Consider the following 23,030-nt stretch of genomic DNA (forward strand, 5'->3'; position numbering starts at 1 on the left):
ACCCCACACTGGCCCGGGGCGGGCTGGGCGCGGGCCCCTGCGGGTGTTGCAACGCCCGGCCAGAAAGTGGGCATCAGCTGTTCCGCCTGGCCCACGTGACCCGCCGAGCATAAATGTGACCGGCCGCGGCTCCGGCAGTCAACGCCTGCCTCCTCTCGAGCGTCCTCAGCGCAGCCGCCGCCCGCGGAGCCAGCACGAACGAGCCCAGCACCGGCCGGATGGAGCGTCCGCAACCCGACAGGCAAGCGCGGGGCGCGGGACGCGGGACGGGCGCCTTTCTCTCCCAACCCTGCTTGCGTCCTAGCCCCACCCCGGGACACTGCCACACAGCGACAGAGCCCAGGAGCCAGAAACTTGGGCTCTGGAGTCAGGAGGTGCGGGGTTCTGATCCTGCCTGTGCCCGTAGGGTAGTTGGAGGGAGGAACGGTAATTTACATGCCTGGCACCCTGGTATGCGGTTGGTGACCAAGATGGGAGTGTCCCTAGAGTATCCAGTCTTTGAGGTAGCCAATTTTTTTTTTAATCCTACTTTCGAGGTGTGTTTGGAGTTGCTCTCTGCTGAATCTAGATCTCTGGGGCTCTGCCAGCCTGGGGGAGCATGCTTGGTTCTCTTGGTGGCATCTGTCCCTCACTAGCTACGGAGGACCTGAGCCAGACATCACCCTGGCTGCGGTGTTCCATGTCTCACAGATAGCCCAGTTCAGGGAGGCGACATGCCCAAGAGTGCTCAGTTAGCTGGTGTCAGAACTGGGCCTTGAACCTTGGTCTGCCCACCTCCAGGTCTCACTCATTCCCTTCTTTCAATAATTTGTTAGTATTTTTTTTTTTAACTCCTGGGCTTAAGCATCCTCCCACCTCAGCCTCCAGAGTAGCTGGGACTTACAGACATGTGCCATTTCTCCTGAGACTTTGACCAGCTGTGTTGTAGAACAGGGAAGCAGGGCAGGAGAAAAGGGAAAAATGACAATTCTGTGGGGAGGCAGGGATACGGACCCATGACAGAAATACTCCCAGAAAGACTTTTTCTTTGACTAAAGCAGACTTTCTCAGGCTTTTTAACCCTGACGCCTTCATGATGAGCATAACATGATAGGGGGTCATGAGATTTGCATCTGGAACTTTAACAAAATAACTGAATTAAATATTGGGTCTAAAAGCCAATCAAAGCAATTACAAACTTGGAGATGCCGGTTCATGGGGCTGCTGCTTCTTCCTGGGTTATGCTGTACCTCCTCCTCCTCTCCACTGCGAACTACCTGTACCAGGATTTCCCCCTTGGTTTGGGGGACTGTATTATTTAGTGTTTTAATGACTGAAGAGTGTTTACAAAGCTGCGAGAGCCACCATGCCCAGCCTGAATTTGTTTTTTGTTTTTTGTTTTTTTGTTTTTTTGCTTTTTTGCTTTTCTTTTTTTGAGATGGAGTGTTGCTCTGTTGCCCAGGCTGGAGTGCAGTGGCGCGATCTCGGCTCACTGCAACCTCTGCCTCCTGGGTTCAAGCGATTCTCCTGCCTCAGCCTCCCAAGTAGTTGGGATTACAGGCGCCCACTACCATGCCCGGCTATTTTTTTTTTTTTTTTTGTATTTTTAGTAGAGATAGGGTTTCACCATGTTGGCCAGGCTGGGCTCAAACTCCTGGCCTCAGGTGATCTGCCCGCCTCAGCCTCCCAAAGTGCTAGGATTACAGGCGTGAGCCACCATGCCTGGCCCTTTTTTTCTTTTTTTTTCTTTTTTTGAGATGGAGTCTCTCTGTCACCAAGTCTGGAGTGCAGTGGTGTGATCTCAGCTCACTGCAACCTCTGCCTCCGGGATTCAAGCAATTACAGGCATAATTGCTGGGATTACAGGCACCTGCCACCATGCCCGGCTAATTTTTGTATTTTTAGTAGAGACGGGGTTTCACCATGTTTGCCAGGCTGGTCTCGAACTCCTGACCTCAGGTGATCCACCTGCCTTGGCCTCCCAAAGCGCTGGGATTACAGGCGTGAGCCACCGTGCCCAGCCACAAGGCTGCATCTTAAAGCGATTGAGAACGTGGCCTGAATGAGGATGGGAGTCTCTTGAAGGCCTGCCCACAGGTGGGAGGCTCAGCAGTTGGGAAGGACCCCACCCCCAGCCAGCTTTGTGTTCACCTTTCCCATTTCCTCCTCAGCATGCCCCAGGATTTGTCAGAGGCCCTGAAGGAGGCCACCAAGGAGGTGCACACCCAGGCAGAGAATGCTGAGTTCATGAGGAACTTTCAGAAGGGCCAGGTGACCCGAGACGGCTTCAAGGTATGTGGCTTGGTGGGACTAGCCCTGGTGGAGGGTGTGGCAGGTGTGGGTGGACCCAAGGCTCAGACCAGTGGTTTAAGTGGGGATGCTGAGGGACCAGATGGGCATGTCCAATAGAATCATCTTAAAAATGATGACACTGAGGCTCAGAGAGGGAAGGTGAGTTACCCAAGGTCACACAGCAAGTTCAGCCTGCTCTGTAATGTTGTGGAGGGGCTGGGGCAGCAGTGCCGTTGACTGAGCACCGGTTCCATGTTGGGCATTTTGTACACGTGGTTTCTAATCTGTGCTTCAACCCTGACGAGAAAGATGAGGACTGGAAGGCTCAGAGAGGTTCAGTGACTAACAGAAGGTCACACAGCCAGTAAGTGGAAAAGGCTGAAATCAACCAAGACCGATTTCAGCCTTGTACTCCTTGTATTTCAGAGCTTGTACTCCTGATCTAACTCGAATTTGCCTCTGAAGATAAGGAATAATATAGGTTGGAGTCTTAACAGAACCCTTTTCTAACAGTGAGACTGAGGGTGCCTCATCTAATCTCCCTAAGCCACGTTTTCCCCATCTGTAAAAGAGTATTTCAACAGCAGGGTTTTCTTAAGCACCCACTATATGCCAGGTACTGATTTTGCTGTTTCCCAGCACTGTTGTGAAATTCATGCAAATAGAAGGAAAGCACTTGATGAAGAACCGGGAAGATACTGGGTGTTAAAACATCAGCGTGGGGAAGAGCTTGTTCAGGTTGAACAGAGGGTGTGGGGGTGGGGAGTAGGGAGCTATATCCCACCACCTTCATCCCAGTCCCTTTTGCAATCTGCACCCTCTGCCACCCCCTACTTCCAACATGAGACATGCTTTATTTATTTTATTTTATCTGAGACAGAGTCTCACTCTGTTGTCCGGGCTGGAGTGCAATGGCAAGATCTCGGTGCCCTGAAACCTCCGCATCCTAAGTTCAAGCGATTCTCCTGCCTCAGCCTCCCAAGTAGCTGGGACTACAGGTGCCCACCACCACACCTGGCCAATTTTTGTATTTTTTTAGTAGAGACAGGGTTTTACCATGTTGGCCAGGCTGGTCTCGAACTCCTGACCTCAGATGATCCACCCGTCTTGGTCTCCCAAAGTGCTGGGATTAGAGGTGTGAGCCACCACCCGGCCGAGACATGCTTTAATGAGGAGAGATTTAATCTGTGGTTCCAGGCTGGGTGGGGTCCTTGGGCCTGTAATGGGTCTTCCTCATCCTCCTCCCCTCTCCCTTAAAAAGATGAGGTACACCCAGTTGCTGCAGTGTGACTGGAGACAGTGGGTGCAGGGAGGTGAATGCTGGAATATCCCATCCCCAGCCAGCTTAGACTTTGGATTTTGCCTCTAAGTCACAGGGTTCTAAGGAGGCGCCAAGATCCATGAGAGAATCCAGTGCTCACTTACATTAAGCTGGTGGACGTGGCACTTATCACAGCCCTTCTCATGTGAGCGCTAAGTGCCAGGCTGCCCTCTGTGCTGGCCCAGATCCTCTCACTTAATCCTCACACCAGCCCCATCTAGTATGTGGCAGGTGAGGGAACTGACTAGCACAGTTGGCTAGCACAGTCACACGGACCTCAGATCATCTGCTCTAGGATAGGATAGGAAGCTGGGACCAGAGAAAGCAAGTGGCTCACCCATGGTCACACAGTTAAGGACTGGCAGAGTTGGGTAAGAACCAGGTCCGTCACACTCAAAAACCCAGGCTCTTTTGTACCAGACTGCCTGGCTTTCTGTCCCCTCAAGGAATAGAGCTGCTTTGAATGTTTGTGGCTCAGAAATAACTCAGAAACTCCAACCTAAATGTCTTAACTTTGTTCTCCTTCAAATTTAAACGGGCGTATTAATGTGTAACGGGAGTTAGTGCCCCAAGCCAAGGTACACTCAAGACCTGTTGCCTCAGCCCAGCATGCAGAGGTGGTGGGGTTCAGAATAGGCCTCCAGGAAGGAGAATTGTGCCCTGTAGTTGGTTACGCAGAGGTCAAAAGCCAGAAGCACATGGCCAATCTCCTTTAAGCACTTTCATTTCAGCTGTTCCCCTCTCCTGAGCCATGGTGGGTCCCTGGCAATGCCCGGTCTTCAATCTAGTTTCATTTCTTACTAGCTGTGCAACCTCCATGTCTCATACCCTCTCTGAGCCTTAGTTTCCTTTTCTGTAAAATGGGAATAGCAATTCCTTTGTTGGATTTTTTTTTTTTTTTTTTCTGAGACAGGGTCTTGCTCACTCTGTTCCCCAAGCTGGAGTACAGTGATATGATCACAGCTCACTGCAACCTTGAAATCCTGGGCTCAAGTGATACCCCTGCCTCCGCCTCTGGAGTAGCTGGGACTATAGGCATGCACCCCCACAGCCATACCTGGCTTTTTTTTTTTTTTTTTTTTTTCTGAGTCAAAGTCTTGCTCTGTCGCCCAGGCTGGAGCGCAATGGCGTGATCTCGGCTCACTGCAACCACTGCCTCCTGGGTTCAAGCAATTCTCCTGACTCAGCCTCCCGAGTAGCTGGGATTATAGGTGCCTGCCACCATGCCTGGCCAATTTTTGTGTTTTTAGTAGAGATAGGGTTTCACCATATTGCCCAGGCTGGTCTCTTGGCCAGGCTGGTCTCGAACTCCTGATCTCGTGATCCGCCTGCCTCAGCCTCCCAAAGTGCTGGGATTACAGGCGTGAGCCACCGCGTCCAGCTGGCTAGTTTATTTATTTATTTATTTATTTTTATTTATTTTTTTGAGACAGAATTTCGCTGTGTTGCCCAGGCTGGAGTGCAGTGGCGAGATCTCAGCTCACTGCAAGCTCCACCTCCCGGGTTCACGCCATTCTCCTGCCTCAGCCTCCTGAGTAGCTGGAACTACAGGCGCCCGCCACCACGCCCGGCTAATTTTTTTGTATTTTTAATAGAGACGGGGTTTCACCTTGTTAGCCAGGATGGTCTTGATGTCCTGACCTTGTGATCCTCCCGCCTCGGCCTCCCAAAGTGCTGGGATTACAGGCGTGAGCCACCGCACCTGGCCCCAGCCAGCTAGTTTTTTAAAATAATTTTTTGTAGAGGTGGGTTTTGGGCTATGTTGCCCAGGCTGGTCTCAGACTCCTGGCTTTAAGCAATCCTCCAGCCTTAGCCTCCCAAAGTGCAGGGATTACAGGGGTTTGAGCCACCACACTGGGCCAGTTTGTTAGATCTTTATATAAGGATTCAATTAGGCTGCTTGTTTTGCCCAGTGGGGTAAAAGGTTTTTAGGCTGAGAAAGTGCATGATCGTCTTTTCCTCTTGTAAAAACCCCTCTGGCTGCTGTGTGAAGAGGATTGTAGCGAGGGGTGGCAGAAGGAGTCAGAGCCCAGCTGCGAAGTGAGGAGGGCCTTTCCAAAGGCAGTAGTGGACGGGACGGACAGAGGTGGGGGTCTTCTATGTGGCTGGCGGCCTGACCTGCTCACTCTGCTTTCAGCTGGTGATGGCCTCCCTGTACCACATCTATGTGGCCCTGGAGGAGGAGATTGAGCGCAACAAGGAGAGCCCAGTCTTCGCCCCTGTCTACTTCCCAGAAGAGCTGCACCGCAAGGCTGCCCTGGAGCAGGACCTGGCCTTCTGGTACGGGCCCCGCTGGCAGGAGGTCATCCCCTACACACCAGCCATGCAGCGCTATGTGAAGCGGCTCCACGAGGTGGGGCGCACAGAGCCCGAGCTGCTGGTGGCCCACGCCTACACCCGCTACCTGGGTGACCTGTCTGGGGGCCAGGTGCTCAAAAAGATTGCCCAGAAAGCCCTGGACCTGCCCAGCTCTGGCGAGGGCCTGGCCTTCTTCACCTTCCCCAACATTGCCAGTGCCACCAAGTTCAAGCAGCTCTACCGCTCCCGCATGAACTCCCTGGAGATGACTCCCGCAGTCAGGCAGAGGGTGATAGAAGAGGCCAAGACTGCGTTCCTGCTCAACATCCAGGTGAGGGTCGGGCAGCCTGGGGCAGCCTCTGCCTCCCCCCGTTGTTCCTCCAAGGGACCCTTCTCATTGTAGGGGAGGGTGCTATAGGTCATGGTTAACACAGGGAACCAGAGTTCCAGCACTGCCACTTACTAGCTGGGTGATCTTGGGCAAATGCCTTCATCTCTCTGTACCTCAGTTTCCCTATCTGTAAAATAGGGATAATAATGGTACCTATATCTTAGACTTATAAGGCTTGAGTGAATTTACAGCAGTAAAGTCCCCACAGCAGTGTCTGGCACAGAGGAAGCCCTCAAACATTCACTACTGTCATAATGGGACATGAGAATCAGTTGTAGCTCTCTGTGACAACAGTCTGTGGCAATGTATAAGTTGTGTGTGCACTAGTGTATAGCCAGGTTGGCACTCCCAGGGTTACAGGTGGCCTCTGCCTTCCAGGGACTCTCAGCCTAGCCAGAGAGGTTTACCTCTTTCTACAAGTGTCTCAAATCCAGGGGGAAGGTGGGGTTTGCGCAAAGCCTGGAAGGATGAATTCTTGGGCAGAGGTGGAGGGGTGAGGGGCTCCTTCTAACCAGATGTCATAGAGCCTTCTCTCTCTGCCACCCCCTGGAGGTGCCATGGGGCCTGGGGCTCGGGGTCATGCCCTCCTGGCTCCCTACTCCCAGCCGTGGATTGCAGAAGATTCTGGTCCTGGCCCCTGTTACGGAACAAGGCCTTTCCCTTCCACCCTCCCCCTTCAGAAAATCCAGTCCGTCTTGGAGGAAGAAAATCTGTGTCTTTCAGAGAAGTGTAGGCAAAAGAAAAGGGCCAGGTGCAGTGGCTCGCGCCTGTAATCCCAGCACTTTGGGAAGCCGAGGTGGGCGGATTGCTTGAGCTCAGGAGTTTCAGACCAGCCTGAGCAACATGGTGAGACCCTGTCTCTATCAAAAATAAAAAATAAAAAAAAATTTAAAGGAAAAAAATGTTTTTAAAAGAAAAGGGATTTGGAATCAGAACTGGCTCTCAGGCTCGTGCCTATAATACCAACACTTTGGGAGGCCAAAGCAGGAAAATGGCTTGAGCCCAGGAGTTTGAGACCAGCCCTGGCAACACAGTGAGACCCCATCTCTACAAAAACATGAAAAAATTAGCCAGACATAGTAGCGTGCACCTGTAGTCCCAGCTACTTGGGAGGCTGAGGTGGGAGGATTGCTTGAGCCCAGGAGGTCAAGGCTGCAGTAAGCCATGATTATGCTACTGCACTCCAGCCTGGGCAACGGCAACAGAGCAAGACTCTGTCTCAAAAACCAAAAAAACAAAAACAAAAACAAAAAAAAACGGCTCTTGGCTGGCCGGGCGTGGTGGGTCACGCCTGTAATTCCAGCACTTTGGGAGGCCGAGGCGGGTGGATCACGAAGTCAGGAGATCGAGACCATCCTGACTAACACGGTGAAACCCCATCTCTACTAAAAAAAAGAAAATACAAAAAAAATTAGCTGGGCATGGTGGTGGGCACCTGTAGTCCCAGCTACTCAGGAGGCTGAGGCAGGAGAATGGCGTGAACCCGGGAGGCGGAGCTTGCAGTGAGCAGAGATCGCGCCACTGCACTCCAGCCTGGGAGACAGAGTGAGACTCCGTATTAAAAACAAAAAACAAACAAAAAAAAACGGCTCTTAGTGCCTGACCTCTGGATCAGTCCTTGGGCAAAGCACTTAACCTGTAGGAGCTACAGTTTCCTCATCTGCAAGGCTAACAAATACCATTCAGCACACCTCACCAAGGCTGAATTTCACAAATCTAAACTCAAGAGAAGAAAGCAGCGGCAGAAGAGTGCATGTACTAGGATACCACTTAATATTATTTCAAAACAAGCAACGCAGCCTTTTGCATGGAGACACAGGCTAAGGACATGGGCGGCCACAGTGAACTCTAAATCCAGGATCATTGTTATCGGTTGGGAGGGCAAGAGCAGGCAGGGGAGCCAATTGGGCTTGGAACATCTTATCTCTTAAGGTGGATGAAAGGGATATGAATTTTCTTTCTTTCTTTCTTTCTTTCTCTCTTTCTTTCTTTCTTTCTTTCTTTTTCTTTCTTTTCTCTCTCTCTCTCTCTCTCTCTCCTCTCTCTCTCTCTCTTCTTTCTTCTTTCTTTCTTTCTTTCTTTCTTCTTTCTTTCTTTCTTTCTTCTCCTTCCTTCCTTCCTTCCTTCCTTCCTTCCTTCCTTCCTTCCTTCCTTCCTTCCTTTCTTTCTTTCTTTCTTTCTTTCTTTCTTTCTATCTTTCTTTCTTTCTTTCTTTTCTTTCTTTCTTGCAGAGTCTCGCCCTGTCACCCGGGCTGGAGTGCAATGGGGCGATCTTGGCTCACTGCAACCTCAGCTTCCCAGGTTCAAGCATTTCTCCTGCCTCAGCCTCCCGAGTAGCTGGGATTACAGGCATGCACCACCACGCCCGGCTAATTTTTTGTATCTTTACTAGAGATGGGGTTTCACTATGTTGGCTAGGCTGGTCTCAAACTTCTGACCCGTGATGTGCCCATCTTGGCCTCCCAAAGTGCTGGGATTACAGGGGCGCACCACCGTGTCCGGCCAATATTTTTCTTACCATCTTGTTATTTCCAAAGTATTTCCTAACACAACTTAAGGTCCTACCTTCAGCTGGGACCTGGTAGCATCTCTCACTGAGATAGGCATGTGTGTCTTTTGTCTTTTAGCTCTTTGAGGAGTTGCAGGAGCTGCTGACCCATGACACCAAGGACCAGAGCCCCTCACGGGCACCAGGGCTTCGCCAGCGGGCCAGCAACAAAGTGCAAGGTGAGAGCATCCAGGAAGGGGCACTTCCTCTGGGCTACACATGGAGGGACTTGGCTGTCTGACTGTAGTATCTCTATTCCTCTGTTTTCTGAATGTTTGGTGGTGGTGGGTGTTGTTTCCTGCTGCCCCACCCCACTGCCCCTGTAAGGACAGGTTCTCGCTATATTGCCCAGGCCAGTCTTGAACACCTGACTTCAAGCAATCCTCTTGCCTCTGCCTCCCCACATGCTGCAGTTACAGGCGCGAGCCACCATGCCAGCCTGAATGTTTGTTGTTGTTGTTGTTTGAGATGGAGTCTCACCCAGGCTGGAGTGCAGTGGCGCGATCTCAGCTCACTGCAACCTCTGCCTCCCGGGTTCAAGCAATTATCCTGCCTCAGCCCCCCGAGTAGCTGGGATTACAGGCGCCCACCACCATGCCTGGCTAATTTTTTTTTTGTATGTTTAGTAGAGATGGGGTTTCACCATGTTGGCCAGGCTGGTCTCGAACTCCTGACCTCAGGTGATCCGCCCACCTTGGCCTCCCAAAGTGCTGAGATTACAGGCGTGAGTCACTGTGCCCGGCCACCTGCGTGTTTTTGTATGAGAAGTGGAGTGCAGGCAAAAGGACCTGGGGTCAACCTTCAGCGTGTGGCTCTGGGCAAGCCATGAGACTTCTCCCTACCTCAGTTTCCCCACCCGTAAAATCCAGTGAGGTTCAGCTACTTCTAGCTTATTGGCTCAGAAGTGCACAAGAACCCCTCAGAAATCATGGGAAACTCCTGCCTCCTTAATTTAGACTCCTTTTTAGGCCTTTGGTCCCCTGATGTGGGCCAGGGAGTTGGGGACCTGTATCCAGCTATGAACCCACCACAGGAAGATGTCCCTTCTGAGTCTTGTTGTGTGTGAGCCCCTCCCTCATGTGCCTAAGAACGATCAAGGCTGGCTGTACTGAAACATCTTGGAAACTTCCAAAAAGACCAAAGTGCTCCACAAAATGTACCCTCACTAAGCCTAAAACACTGAGGGAGGGAGTGTGGCTTTGGGATGGGTAGCAATAAAGAGGTAAGGCTTAGCTACCTCCTGGCAGGTTATATTAGGCCTCCCCTCCTGTGCCACCCTAACCTACCTGGCTTGTGGCTTTCTCACTTGTGCCAGACCACACGGACCCCTCTGCTAGGGGTTTGTAACCCCGGAGGGCTTGGCTATTTGGTGGGGTAGGGAGACGTCACCCTAATGAAGCAGTTCTCAAAGTGTGGTACCCTGGCTGTGGGAGGTGGTAATCCTAGTATCCCCTCAACGGGGTCTGTGAGGACAAAGCATTTTTATAACACTACTACTATTTTTTTGGTTTTTTTTTTTTCGTTTGAGACAGTCTTGCTGTCACCCAGGCTGGAGTGCAGTGGCATGATCTCGGCTCACTGCAAGCTCCGCCTCCCAGGTTCACGCCATTCTCCTGCCTCAGCCTCCCGAGTAGCTGGGACTACAGGTGCCCGCCACCATGCCTGGCTAATTTTTTGTATTTTTAGTAGAGACGGGGTTTCACTGTGTTAGCCAGGATGGTCTCGATCTCCTGACCTTGTGATCCGCCCGCCTCGGCCTCCCAAAGTGCTGTAATTACAGGTGTGAGCCACCGCGCCCGGCCTTTTTTTTTTTTTTTTTTTTTTTTTGAGACAGGGTCTCGCTCTTTCACCCAGTCTGGAGTGTAGTGGCACAATCACAGCTCACTGCAGCTTCAACCTCCCAGGTTCAAGGGATTCTCCCACCTCAGCCTCCTGAGTAACTGGGACTATAGGCACGTGCCACCACACCCAGATTTTTTTTTTTTTTGGCTTTTTTTAAAAAAGCCAAAAATAAATGAGAAAATTAGAGTTTCACTTTCTCATGAATGTGTGTTGGCATTTTCCAAAGGTTATGTGACATGTGATGCTCTCTCATGGATTTGATGGCTCATGGAATGTGTGCCTGTATGTTCTTGTATGTTAAGAATTTCTCAGTTTTGGCCGGGCACGATGGCTCATGCCTGTAATCCCAGCACTTTGGGAGGCTGAGGCACGGGGATCACTTGAGGTAAGGAGTTTGAGACCAACCTGGCCAATGTGGTGAGACCCCATCTCTACTAAAATATAAAAATTAGCTGGGTGTGATGGTGCACACCTGTAATCCCAGCTACTCGGGAGGCTGAGGCAGGAGAATCTCCTAAGTCCGGGAGGCAGAGGTTGCAGTGAGCCGAGATTGCACCACTGTACTCCATCCTGGGCGACAGCGAGACTCCATCTCAAAAAAAAAAAAAAAAGAAAGAAAAGAAAAGAAAAAGAATTTCTCAGTTTTAATATCTAATTTTGTAAATAGTGATAGCTATACTCACACAAACAAAAGCTCTTTTGGATCCTTGGTTGCATTTGAGTATAAAGGAGTTTTGGAACCAAAACATTTGAGAACTGCACCCCTAATGCATCAGAAGGAGCAGGAGCCTTTAATATGAACAACACACATGTAAATGTCACAGTGTACCTGCTTGCTTGCTTGCTTGCTTGTACTTCCTGTGACCGCAGCCCTGGGCCACCAGACCTAAGGCCCTGTTTTCTCTGGGGAAGCCCTTCTCATAGCCCAGGGCGGGGCTAGGATTGAAACCCAGCTGGTCTGGCTCCAGAGACCTGCCCTGGACTCTGTCCTGCTTCTAAAGACCTAGGGAGCACCCACTCTGTGCCTGAGGAGGCAGGTGGCACATCTACCCAGGTTGCATGGTTGGCTCTGGCCTATCATGTTTTAAATCTTTTTTTTTTTTTTTTTTGAAATGGAGTCTCACTCTGTTGCCCAGGCTGGAGTACAGTGGCGCAATCTTGGCTCACTGCAACCTCTGCCTCCTGGGTTCAAGCAATTCTCTGCCTCAGCCTCCCGAGTAGCTGGGATTACTGGCACTCGCAACCATACCCGGCTAATTTTTTGTATTTTTAGTAGAGACGGGGTTTCACCATATTGGCCAGGCTGGTCTTGAACTCCTGACCTCGTGATCCACCTGCCTTGGCCTCCCAAAGTGCTGGGATTACAGGCGTGAGCCACTGCGCCCGGCCCTATCACATTTTAATAACCAGGGATGGGACTGAACTTGAATTTTGACCTCAGAGCTCCTGCTTTCTAGCTCCTGCCCCATCATCACCATGCTTAGCAAACGTGTGAGTTTGAGAGGAAGATTTACAGCTCAGACCTAATTGCTGGCAAAGTTTAAGGAGAGGACAGGGAGCAGGCAGAAGTCTGAAAACCACGCCTGGGCCCAAGAATGTTTTCACAATGTGGCCTGGCTGCACAGGGAAGAACAGACAGCTTGAAGAAGTAGTGAGCTGCCCGTCTTTGAAGGTATTCAAGCAGTGGCTAGAGGGACACCTGTCTGTGGTCTTGCAGAATCCTGGCGTTGGGCAGTGACTGTACCACAGACCCTGAGGCCGCTCTGCTTTGCTTTCCTATGACATCAGACACCCTGATGCACGCCCACCTGTTAATGACCTTGCCCCATTTTCTCTTTCAGATTCTGCCCCCGTGGAGACTCCCAGAGGGAAGCCCCCACTCAACACCCGCTCCCAGGCTCCGCTTCTCCGATGGGTCCTTACACTCAGCTTTCTGGTGGCGACAGTTGCTGTAGGGCTTTATGCCATGTGAATGCAGGCATGCTGGCTCCCAGGGCCATGAACTTTGTCCGGTGGAAGGCCTTCTTTCTAGAGAGGGAATTCTCTTGGCTGGCTTCCTTACCGTGGGCACTGAAGGCTTTCAGGGCCTCCAGCCCTCTCACTGTGTCCCTCTCTCTGGAAAGGAGGAAGGAGCCTATGGCATCTTCCCCAACGAAAAGCACATCCAGGCAATGGCCTAAACTTCAGAGGGGGCGAAGGGATCAGCCCTGCCCTTCAGCATCCTCAGTTCCTGCAGCAGAGCCTGGAAGACACCCTAATGTGGCAGCTGTCTCAAACCTCCAAAAGCCCTGAGTTTCAAGTATCCTTGTTGACACGGCCATGACCACTTTCCCCGTGGGCCATGGCAATTTTTACACAAACCTGAAAAGATGTTGTGTCTTGTGTTTTTGTCTTATTTTTGTTGGAGCCACTCTGTTCCTGGCTCAGCCTCAAATGCAGTATTTTTGTTGTGTTCTGTTGTTTTTATAGCAGGGTTGGGGTGGTTTTTGAGCCATGCGTGGGTGGGGAGGGAGGTGTTTAACGGCACTGTGGCCTTGGTCTAACTTTTGTGTGAAATAATAAACAACATTGTCTGATAGTAGCTTGAAGTAGTTTTCATGGGCTTTGTTATTCTTGGGGAACTGACCTTTTCCTCCCTGGTTTCTTGCGTGCTCGGTAGGAGAAGTGGTGATAGGGGGTTGGCAGGAGCTGGTCTGTTTGAGAATACAGAAGGTGAGCTTTTCTTTTCTTTTTTTTTTTTTTTGAGATGGAGTCTCACTCTGTCACCCAGGCTGGAGTGCAGTGGCGTGATCTTGGTTCACTGCAAGCTCCACCTCCCAGGTTCAATCAATTCTCCTGCCTCAGCCTCCTGAGTAGCTGGGATTACAGAAGTTCATCACCATGCCCAGCTAATTTTTGTATTTTTAGTAGAGATGGGGTTTCCCCATGTTGGCCAGGCTGGTCTCGAACTCCCGACCTCAGCTGGTCCACCTGCCTCAGCTTCCCAAGGTGCTGGGATTACAGGCGTGAGCCACCGTGCCTGGCCCAGGAGGTGAGCTTTAAGTAGCTGGTGGGCGAATATTTGTGTTGAACCCTGCTTGATGCAATTCTCGACTTTATGGAAGATGGGGTTGCCCTGTTTGGTGGAAATGAGCAGATTCTGGGGCAAAATTTGTATTTTCTGTCCAGTGACTATTAGGGACTGGAGTGAAATTCTTAGGTTCAAATTCCTGCTACACCACTTTGAGGTTAGTCACTTAACCTCTCTGAGGCTCCATTTTATCACTGGTGACATGAATATAGTGATACCTAACTCACCTATGTGTCCTGAGAAGCAAACAAGATGCAAGTGAAATGCCAACGCCATACACAGTTAGCACCTATTATGCAAAGAAGGAGACCAGTGTTTTGTGATTCTTGTACTGTCGAGTCACCTCATCTATGTCATCCCTGTGTTGAGGGGGTGTTTCCACTATCTGAGGGTCAGGATGGATTTCACTGAGGTCTGTCCAGCTCTAAAACCCAAGCCCTTTCTATGGCCCTAAGTCAAGAAAATACTAAATATGTAGCCTCCCAATCTGGGAAAGTGAAAAACCTTTTGCTGAAAGTGTCCTGGGCAGAGCATGGGACAAGATTTTTTTTTTTTTTTTTTTTTTTTTTTTGAGACAGGGTCTGGCTTTGTCCTCCACACTGGAGTGCAGTGGTGTGATCTTGGCTCACTGCAACCTCCACCTCTTGGGCTTAAGCCATCCTCTGGCCTCAGCCTCCTGAGTAGCTGCGGCTACAAGTGCACACCACCATGCCCAGTTAATTTTTGTATTTTTTTTTTAGAGATGGGGTTTCGCTATGTTGCCCAGGCTGGTCTCAAACTCTTGAACTAAAGTGATCCTCCCACCTTGGCTTCACAAAGTGCTGGGATTACAGGCGTGAGTCACTGTGCCTGGCCAAGGTGTATTTTTTTTTTTTTTTTTTTTTTTGAGATGGAGTCTCATTCTGTTGCCCAGGCTGGAGTGCAGTGGTGCGATTTCAGCTCGCTGCATCCTCTGCTGCCCAGGTTCAAGCAATTCTCCTGCCTCAGCCTCCCAAGTAGCTGGGATTATAAGCACATGACACCGCACTCGGCTAATTTTTTTAGTTTTAGTAGAGACAGGGTTTTACCATGTTGGCCAGGCTGGTCTTGAACTCCTGACCTCGTGATCCACCTGCCTCGGCCTCCCAAAGTGCTGGGATTACAGGTGTGAGCCACTGTGCCCAGCCAAGGTGTTTCTTTATAGGACCAGTACCTAAGGACTGGAAGTCAGGAGACCTTTGTCACTAGTCTGACTATGCCACTTCAAGGCTCATTTTGTTCACTGGTAAAATGAGAACAATACACATACCTCTCACAGCTGGTGGGAGGATCCAGTGGTGTCCAAACACCAGTCTGTGCATGGTGGCATCAGAATTACTTGGAGATACTTAACCACAGAATCCAGGGCTCCACCTGGGATGGGGCTCTAGAATTTTTTTTTTTTTTTTTTTTTTTTTGAGACGGAGTCTTGCTCTGTCACCCAGGCTGGAGTGCAGTGGCGCGATCTTGACTCACTGGAAGCTCCGCCTCCCGGGTTCACGCTATTCTCCTGCCTCAGCCTCCTGAGTAGCTGGGACTATAGGCACCCACCACCATGCCCGGCTAATTTTTTGTATTTTTAGTGGAGACGGAGGTCACAGGTTTCACCGTGTTAGCCAGGATGGTCTCGATCTCCTGACCTCGTGATCCGCCCGCCTTGGACTCCCAAAGTGCTGGGATTACAGGCGCGAGCCACCGCACCCAGCCTAGAATCAGTATTTTTGAAAAGTACCTTAGGAGAGTCCAACGCGCACCCAGGTCCAGGAGCACGTATGGTCACGTATGCAAAGCATAGGCATTCAAATAGCAGCTGGAGCTGGGCACGGTGGCTCACGACTATAATCCCAACACTTTTGGGAGGCTGAGACAGGCGGATTTCTTGAGGCCAGGAGTTTGAGACCAGCCCGGCCAACACAGTGAAAACCTGCCTCTACTAAAACCACAAAATTAGCTGGAAGTGGTGGCGCATGCCTGTAATCCCAGCTACTCCGGGGGCTGAGGCAGGAGAATCACTTGAATCCGGGAGGCTGAGGTTGCAGTGAGCCGAGATCGCACCAATGCACTCCAGCCTTAGCAACAGAGCAAGACTCTGTCTCAAAAAAACAAAACAAAAACCCAATAGCAGCTGGGACTCTCCTGCCCTGGGCCCAGTTTCCTCATTTGTGAAAGGGGAATAGATATTCATTGTACTGACAAAGAAAGGAAGGAAGAGGGGAGGGGAGAGAGAGAAACTATCTTGAATTTTACTAATAGGAGAATGGCTGAATAATTTTTTCCTATCAATTGTCGAACAAAGCCAGACACTAGTTAAAGTGGTAAGGACGACCGGGCACGGTGGCTCATGCCTGTAATCCCAGCACTTTGGGAGGCCGAGGAGGGCAGATCATGAGGTCAGGAGTTTGAGACTGGCCTGACCAACATGGTGAAACTCTGTCTCTACTAAAAATACAAAAATTAACCGGGCATGGTGGCGCGTGCCTGTAATCCCAGCTACCAGGAGGCTGAGGCAGGAGAACTGCTTGAACTTGGGAAACGGAGGTTGCAGTGAGCTGAAATTATGCCACTGCACTCCAGCCTGGGTGATAAAGCGAGAATCCGTCTCAAAAAAAAAAAGTGGTAAGGACAGATTTTAATCAGTAATGATTATTGCAACAGGGAAGAGAGTTCAGTATGAACTGAACTCAGCTTTAATTTGTATAGAGGTATTTTAAAGGGAGGTTGACCAGCCTGGGCAATATGGTAAAACCCCATCTCTACAAATGAATAAATAAATTCGCCGGGCATGGTGGTGAGGTTGAGGTGGGAGGATTGCACGAGCCTGGGAGGTCAAGGCTGCAGTGAGCTGTGATTGCACCACCGCACTCTAGCATTGGCAACAGAGACCCTGTCTCAAAAAAATAAATAAAAAAAATAAAGGAAGATTGAGGGAGGAAGGGGTGGGCAAGTGATTAGTAGAGTCAGGGAAGTGAAATATTACAAAAGGTTAAGTCAGTGTAAATGCAGTGAGGCTAGCTGTGTCTGCCAGTTGGCAATGATCAAAGTTAGAATTTTTGCCTCCCACAGAGCCTGGGAGACAGAGGTCACATCCTCGGTTGTTGCCTGGAATAAACGGTAAACATTTACCAGCAGCCTTGAGTTTTCTCAGGCAGGCACCTTAGCGGGGGCTGGCTAGAGTCATTTTAGAGATGTTAGCAGCTGTTAGAAACTGTTAGTGTTTGTTTAAGTCTTTTTTTCTTTTCTTTTTTTTTTTTTTTGAGATTAAGTTTCACTCTTGTCGCCCAGACTGGAGTGTAGTGGCACGATCTCGGCTCACTGCAACCTCCGCCTCCCAGGTTCAAGCGATTCTCCTGCCTCAGGCTTCCAAGTAGCTGGGATTACAAGCGCCTGCCACCACGCCCGGCTAAGTTTTGTATTTTTAGTAGACACAGGGTTTCACCATGTTGGCCAGGCTGGTCTTGAACTCCCGCCTCAGCCTCCCAAAATGCTGGGATTACAGGTGTGAGCCACGGCGCCTGGACTGTCTTTTTTTTCTTTTTAGAGATGAGTCTCGCTCTGTCGCTCAGGCTGAAGTGCAGTGGTGCAATCAAAACTCACTGCAGTCTCAAACTCCTGGGCTCAGGCCATCCTCCCACCTTGGCCTCTTGAGTAGCTAGGACAACAGGTGTGCTCCACCATGCCCAGCTAATTAAAAAAAAATTTCAAGCCGGGCGCAGTGGCTCATGCCTGTAATCCCAGCATCTTGGAAGGCTCAGGCGGGTGGATCACCTGAGGTCAGGAGTTCAAGGCTGGCCAACATGGTGAAACCCTGTCTCTACTAAAAATACAAAAAATTAGCCAGGCGTGGTGGCACACACCTGTAATTCCAGCTACTTGGGAAGCTGAGGCAGGAGAATTGCTTGAACCCAGGAGGTGGAAGTTGCAGTGAGCCGAGATCGTGACACTGCACTCCAGCCTGGGCAACAGAGTGAGACTCTGTCTCAAAACAAAAAAAATTATAAAAAAATTTCTAGAGAAGCGGGATCTTGCTATGTTGCCCAGGCTGGCCTCAACTCCTGGACTCAAGGGATCCTCTCATCTTGGTCTCCTGAAGTGCTAGGATTACAGGCATGAGCCACAGTGCCTATAGATCAAGGTTGAGGCTTAGAAGTGAAGGGAGCCCAGAGGAACCTGGCTAGAGTTTGGTCAAGGAGAGTCTTTGTCACCATACTACAGAAAATTAAGCAGCTGTTAAACAGAATGAGGCCGGTCTGGGCATGGTGGCTCACGCCTGTAATTCCAGCACTTTGGGAGGCCGAAGCGAGTGGATCACTTGAGGCCAGAAGTTCGAGACCAGTGTGGGCAACATGGTGAAACCCTGTCTCCACTAAAAATACAAAAATTAGCTGAGCATGGTGGCGCCTGCCTGTAGTCCCAGCTAGTTGGGAGGCTGAGGCAGGAGAATCGCTTGAACCGGGGAGGCAGAAGTTGCAGTGAGCCGAGATTGAGCCACTGCACTCCATCCTGGGGGACAGAGTGAGACTCCCTCTCAACAAATAAATAAACAAATAAAAGCAGTGTGTTAGGGTGCGAGAACCCGGGTCGGGGACGCGGGTGAGCCGCGCGGTAATCGCCCTGTCCTGCCACCAGCTGGAGGACAGGGGCTCCTCAGAGCCTCAGGCCCAGAGAACGGGCCCCACGACCGGGAAGCGAATACTCCACAGGGCACAGTCTCCCAATGCAAAATGGGCACCTGGACCCAATCATTTCTGAACTTCTAGTTTTTTCTCCCTATGGCTATGAAAAGGGTCATTTTTTTTCATAGGACTTTAAAAGAAGGCTTAAGAAAAGCACGCAGGCCTGGCCGGGTAGCTCACGCCAGTAATCCCAGTGCTTTGGGACGTCAAGGCAGGCGGGTCGCTTGAGAGTAGAGTTTCGAGACCTGGGCAAGATGGTGAGACTCCGTCTTTATGAAATATTTTAAGAAAATCACGTACACCTGTGGTCCCCGCTACAAGGGAGGCTGAGGCGGAAGGATTGCTTGAGCCCAAGAGGTTGAGGCTACAGTAAGCCGTGATCCAGCCACTGCACTCCATCCCCGGCAACACAACGAGACCATGCGTCAGGAAAAAAAAAAAAAAACCAAGAAAATAAAAAAGAAACCACCTAAAGGCGTCCTCCGCGCGCCCGCCCCTCCGCCATCTTTGCGTCCGCCCCGTCCTGCGCCGCCACTTCCTTCCCAGCCAGAAGTTTCGCGCCAAATTGTTCCGCACACAAAATGGAGCCCGGAAGGAGGCGAGGTCATGCACTTTGCAGCCAATCATCTTCGGCAGACAGTCCGGGCGGCGGGGCTGGAGGGCTCAGAACGGTCCAATCGCTGGCCGCGAGGCTCCGGCGAACCAATGGGAGCGCAGCGGCTGCGGCGTCCGAACACCGCCTCTTGTTTTTCCCGCGAAACTCGGCGGCTGAGCGTGGAGGTTCTTGTCTCCCCTGGTTTGTGAAGTGCGGAAAACCAGAGGTGAGGCTAGTGGGAGTGGGACTGGGACTGGGAGCCAGCAGGCATCTGGATTTCCGGGTGTAGTTGGAGTGGGACAGGAGTTTCTCGGGAACTGGGGTTGGAGTCCGGGAGCGCGGCCGGGGGTCCCCCTGCTCCGGACTCAGGGCAGGGACCCAGGCGTCGGAGGGGAGGAGGTGCCAGGCGCTGCCCCCAGCCTGTTCTGGCCGTTTGTTCCCACCCCAGGCGCAGTCATGTCGGGATTCGACGATCCTGGCATTTTCTACAGCGACAGCTTCGGGGGCGACGCCCAGGCCGACGAGGGGCAGGCCCGCAAATCGCAGCTGCAGAGGCGCTTCAAGGAGTTCCTGCGGCAGTACCGAGTGGGCACCGACCGCACGGGCTTCACCTTCAAATACAGGTGCGGCTCCTGCGGGGCCGGGGGCTCGAGTTCCAGTGTGGCCGCTCACACGCCTCTACCAGCCTGCTAGAGTCCTGGACAGTCAGGGCACAGATGGGCCCAGACGGGGGAAAGAGCCGGTCCTGGGTCACAGGGCTCATCCCGGCAGCCTCACGCCTTGGTATAAGGCTTTGTGTATTTTGTTTTACTTTATTTTATTTTATTTTATTATTAACGTATTTGTTTATTATTTTGAGACGGAGTCTCGCTCTGTCGCCAGGCTGGAGTGCAGTGGCACGATCTCGGCTCACTGCAACCTCCGCTTCCCGGGTTCAAGCGATTCTTGTGCCTCAGCCTCCCGAGTAGGTGGGACTACCCCCGCCATCACCACGCCCGGATAATTTTTTGTAATTTTAGTAGAGATGGGGTTTCGCCATGTTCGCCAGGCTGCTCTCGAACTCCTGACCTCAAGTGATCCACCCGCCTCAGTCTCCCAAAGTGCTGGGATTACAGGCGTGAGCCACCGTGCCCGGCCTGCTTTGTGTATTTTATCTGTACCTGGAGTTAACTTCTGGGTGAGTCACCTGTTGAGTGGGCCACCAGCAACCAGCTAGCGCCACTTGGACCGTTTAGTTCTTTATCCAGATCTTGTTCCTGTTCATCTGCTTCCTATCATCCTTCCATGTCATGTCTGAGACCTTACAAACTCAAGTTCCCTGTAGGTGTAAAAGGTGAAGATGGCAGTTAGGATTCACTTCACTTCGCTCATTCATTTATTTATACCAGTCTTGCACCTTCATTGATTGAGCACCTGCTGCCTGCCAGATACTGTTCTGGGTGCTGGGCTGCAGCACTGAAGCTGGACCTGGCTCCTGCTTCTAGGTGATTGTACGACCTGTGACATCATGAGAATTCTCATAGGCCCGGCCTCTATCCCTGAAATGTTAAAATGCAGAGAACATGAGGTTGCAGGTTCAGCACTGGCCCATTATTAGCTGAGTGACTTCCAGGTGTCAGTGTCTCTGGGCCTCACCAGGCCAGAAATGGGTAAAGCCATTCCTGCTTTCACTTACTCATGCAGCAGCTGATATTGCCCACCTGTGTGCCAGGCACTGCGCTACAAAGATGAAAAGACGTGCTTCTTGTCCTAGAGAAGCTCCTAAGTCAGAGGAGTGAGTCGTGAAGACCAACAGATAACTTCCACGGTGGTCATTTCCTCCACAGAGGAAGGTGAAAGGACTTAGGGAAGTTTTCCGGGGGGCTGAAGTTTGAGGGGACCTTTGAGCTAAGGTCAGAGTTGCAGGTGTAGAAAGCTTTCTGTCTAGGTAGGAGCAATTGCTTGTGTAGAGGTGTGGGGTGTCCTCACAGCAAGTGGCTTTCAGTAGCAGTCTGGCCATTTTACTGGCTCCTGGACATAAGGGAGACGGGGCTCAGGCCTGTGATACTGCGAGGCTGGGGAACAGCCTGTGCGTTGGTCAGTGGTCCCCAAATATGTTCTTGCCACAGCAGTCACATGGGATGCTCTGCTAAGCATCTGGGCTGGACGCAGTGGCTCATGCTTGTAATTCCGACGCTTTGGGAGGCTGATGCCAATGGATCATTTGACCCCAGGAGTTCAAGACCTGGCTGGGCAACATAGTGAAACCCAGGCTCTATTTAAAAAAAAACAGTCTGACTAGAGGTTGATAAGGCAGATGTGTTTTCTGCTGCCTTGGTGCCTCCAGTTTTTTTGTTGTTTTGTTTTTTGTTTTTTTTTTTTTGAGATGGAGTCTCGCTCTGTCACCCAGGTTTGAGTACAGTGGCGTGATCTTGGCTCACTGCAACTGCTGCCTGCCGGGTTCAAGTGATTCTCCTGCCTCAGTCCCCCAAGTAGCTAGGATTACAGGCATCCGCCACCACACCCGGCTAGGTTTTTTTTTTTGTATTTTTAGTAGAGATGGGGTTTCTCCATGTTGGTGAGGCTGGTACCTTTTTGGTTTTTTTTTTTGAGACAGAGTCTCAGTCTGTCGCCCAGGCTGGAGTGCCCTGGCGAGATCTCTGGTCACTGCAGCCTCCACCTCTGGGGTTCAGGCATTCTCATGCCTCAGTAGCTGGGACTACAGGCGTATGCTACCATGCCCGGCTAATCTTCGTATTTTTAGTAGAGACTGGGTGTTGCCATGTGGCCCAGGCTGGTGTTGAACTCCTGGCCTCAAGTAATCCACCCTCCTCAGCTTCCTAAAGTGTTGGGATTACAGGCATGAGCCACCTCACTGGGCCCCAAGTTTGAGCTGTGTGCATTGTTCTTTTCCAAGAGAAGTTAAAGGCTCTGCGGAGTCCTTCAGTGACAGAACTGGTTTGTTGTTTTGTGCACGCTGGCCTGGGTGTTGAAACATCCTTTGACTGTCTTGTGGACCCCTTCCATGGAGCTTTCTTTAGGGCATGCCTGTGCCAGCAGTGAGTAGCCTCTGCAGGGTTAAATAATGGAATGATCTGGAATTAGATGTGTGTTTGGGAAGAGGAATGGTGAGGTCATGGTGGCTGTGGTGTGGGCAGATTCAGGGGTGCAGGCACACCTCAGCCAGTGTTGGTTTCCTCTTCTTTGCACCCTTCCTGCCCCACCCTGCTATGTGCCCACTCCAGGGATGAACTCAAGCGGCATTACAACCTGGGGGAGTACTGGATTGAGGTGGAGATGGAGGATCTGGCCAGCTTTGATGAGGACCTGGCCGACTACTTGTACAAGCAGCCAGCCGAGCACCTGCAGCTGGTGAGTGGGACCCCATCCCTGAGCTTCCCAGGGCTGCTCTGCCCCAGTTACTAATAGCCTGTGCCCTTCCCTTTCTCCAGCTGGAGGAAGCTGCCAAGGAGGTAGCTGATGAGGTGACCCGGCCCCGGCCTTCTGGGGAGGAGGTGCTCCAGGACATCCAGGTCATGCTCAAGTCGGACGCCAGCCCTTCCAGCATTCGTAGCCTGAAGGTGGGTCGGAGGGCAGTGGCTGCTGCATGGTGCAGAGGGCTTTGGATGCAGCCAGACCTGAGTGCTAGCTGTGTGGCCTTGAGTGAGGCACTTGACCTTTCTGAACCTGTCTCCTCCTGGAGACAAAAGGATCGTTTGTTGTTTTTTGCTTTTTGTTATGAAAAATTACACACCCAAAAGCAGAGAGTAGTATAATGAATCCCATAAAGCTTCACCCAGATTTAATAATTAACATTTTGTGTTGTTTCCTATTTTGTCCTTTTTCTTTTTTGCTAAAGAATTTTAAAGTAAATTCATGCACAGTGGCTCATGCCTCTAATCTTAGCACTTTGGGAGGCCGAGGGAGGAAGATTGCTTGATACCGGGAGTTTGAGACCCTGGCTCTCCAAAAAACAAAACAAAAAAAAAACAAAAAAAACAAAGCTAGGTATGCTGGCATATGC

The 23,030-nt window shown here is 51.0% G+C and overlaps 2 protein-coding genes across 4 annotated transcripts in view, besides 3 other annotated features; both read left to right on the forward strand.

Moving 5' to 3' along the window:
• HMOX1 (heme oxygenase 1) lies at positions 141-13,252 on the forward strand. The gene is made up of 5 exons (NM_002133.3): positions 141-241; positions 2,151-2,271; positions 5,730-6,221; positions 8,909-9,008; positions 12,513-13,252. The coding sequence occupies exons 1-5, from the start codon at positions 219-221 to the stop codon at positions 12,641-12,643; spliced, it is 867 nt and encodes a 288-aa protein (NP_002124.1). The 5' UTR covers positions 141-218; the 3' UTR covers positions 12,644-13,252.
• Positions 242-411: a silencer, noted in NCBI's record as "silent region_13656". NCBI's record gives its function as "represses an Ori minimal core promoter by ATAC-STARR-seq in GM12878 lymphoblastoid cells {active_cell/tissue: GM12878}" and the evidence as "EXISTENCE:reporter gene assay evidence [ECO:0000049][PMID:35858748]".
• Positions 18,730-18,779: an enhancer, noted in NCBI's record as "active region_18904". NCBI's record gives its function as "activates an Ori minimal core promoter by ATAC-STARR-seq in GM12878 lymphoblastoid cells {active_cell/tissue: GM12878}" and the evidence as "EXISTENCE:reporter gene assay evidence [ECO:0000049][PMID:35858748]".
• Positions 18,790-18,949: an enhancer, noted in NCBI's record as "active region_18905". NCBI's record gives its function as "activates an Ori minimal core promoter by ATAC-STARR-seq in GM12878 lymphoblastoid cells {active_cell/tissue: GM12878}" and the evidence as "EXISTENCE:reporter gene assay evidence [ECO:0000049][PMID:35858748]".
• The window catches only part of MCM5 (minichromosome maintenance complex component 5), a 54,892-nt gene continuing 51,046 nt past the window's right edge, over positions 19,185-23,030 (forward strand). For all 3 annotated transcript variants that reach the window (XM_047441366.1, XM_006724242.5, NM_006739.4), the window contains exons 1-4: positions 19,185-19,253; positions 19,476-19,650; positions 22,252-22,378; positions 22,459-22,587. In XM_047441366.1, coding sequence (XP_047297322.1) covers positions 19,484-19,650; positions 22,252-22,378; positions 22,459-22,587 — 423 coding nt within the window. In that variant the 5' untranslated portion in view covers positions 19,185-19,253; positions 19,476-19,483. The remainder of the gene's footprint in view (positions 19,254-19,475; positions 19,651-22,251; positions 22,379-22,458; positions 22,588-23,030) is intronic.

Source organism: Homo sapiens, chromosome 22, assembly GCF_000001405.40.
Source record: "Homo sapiens chromosome 22, GRCh38.p14 Primary Assembly".
In the NCBI taxonomy this organism is placed as follows: Eukaryota; Metazoa; Chordata; class Mammalia; order Primates; family Hominidae; genus Homo; species Homo sapiens.

Bases quoted from the DNA above. Each gene is read 5' to 3' on its own strand.
- HMOX1 (NM_002133.3), top strand. From the start codon at position 219: ATGGAGCGTCCGCAACCCGACAG. The intron at 242-2,150 runs GCAAGCGCGGGG...TTTCCTCCTCAG, and splicing joins GAGCGTCCGCAACCCGACAG to CATGCCCCAGGATTTGTCAG. The intron at 6,222-8,908 runs GTGAGGGTCGGG...TTTGTCTTTTAG, and splicing joins CGTTCCTGCTCAACATCCAG to CTCTTTGAGGAGTTGCAGGA.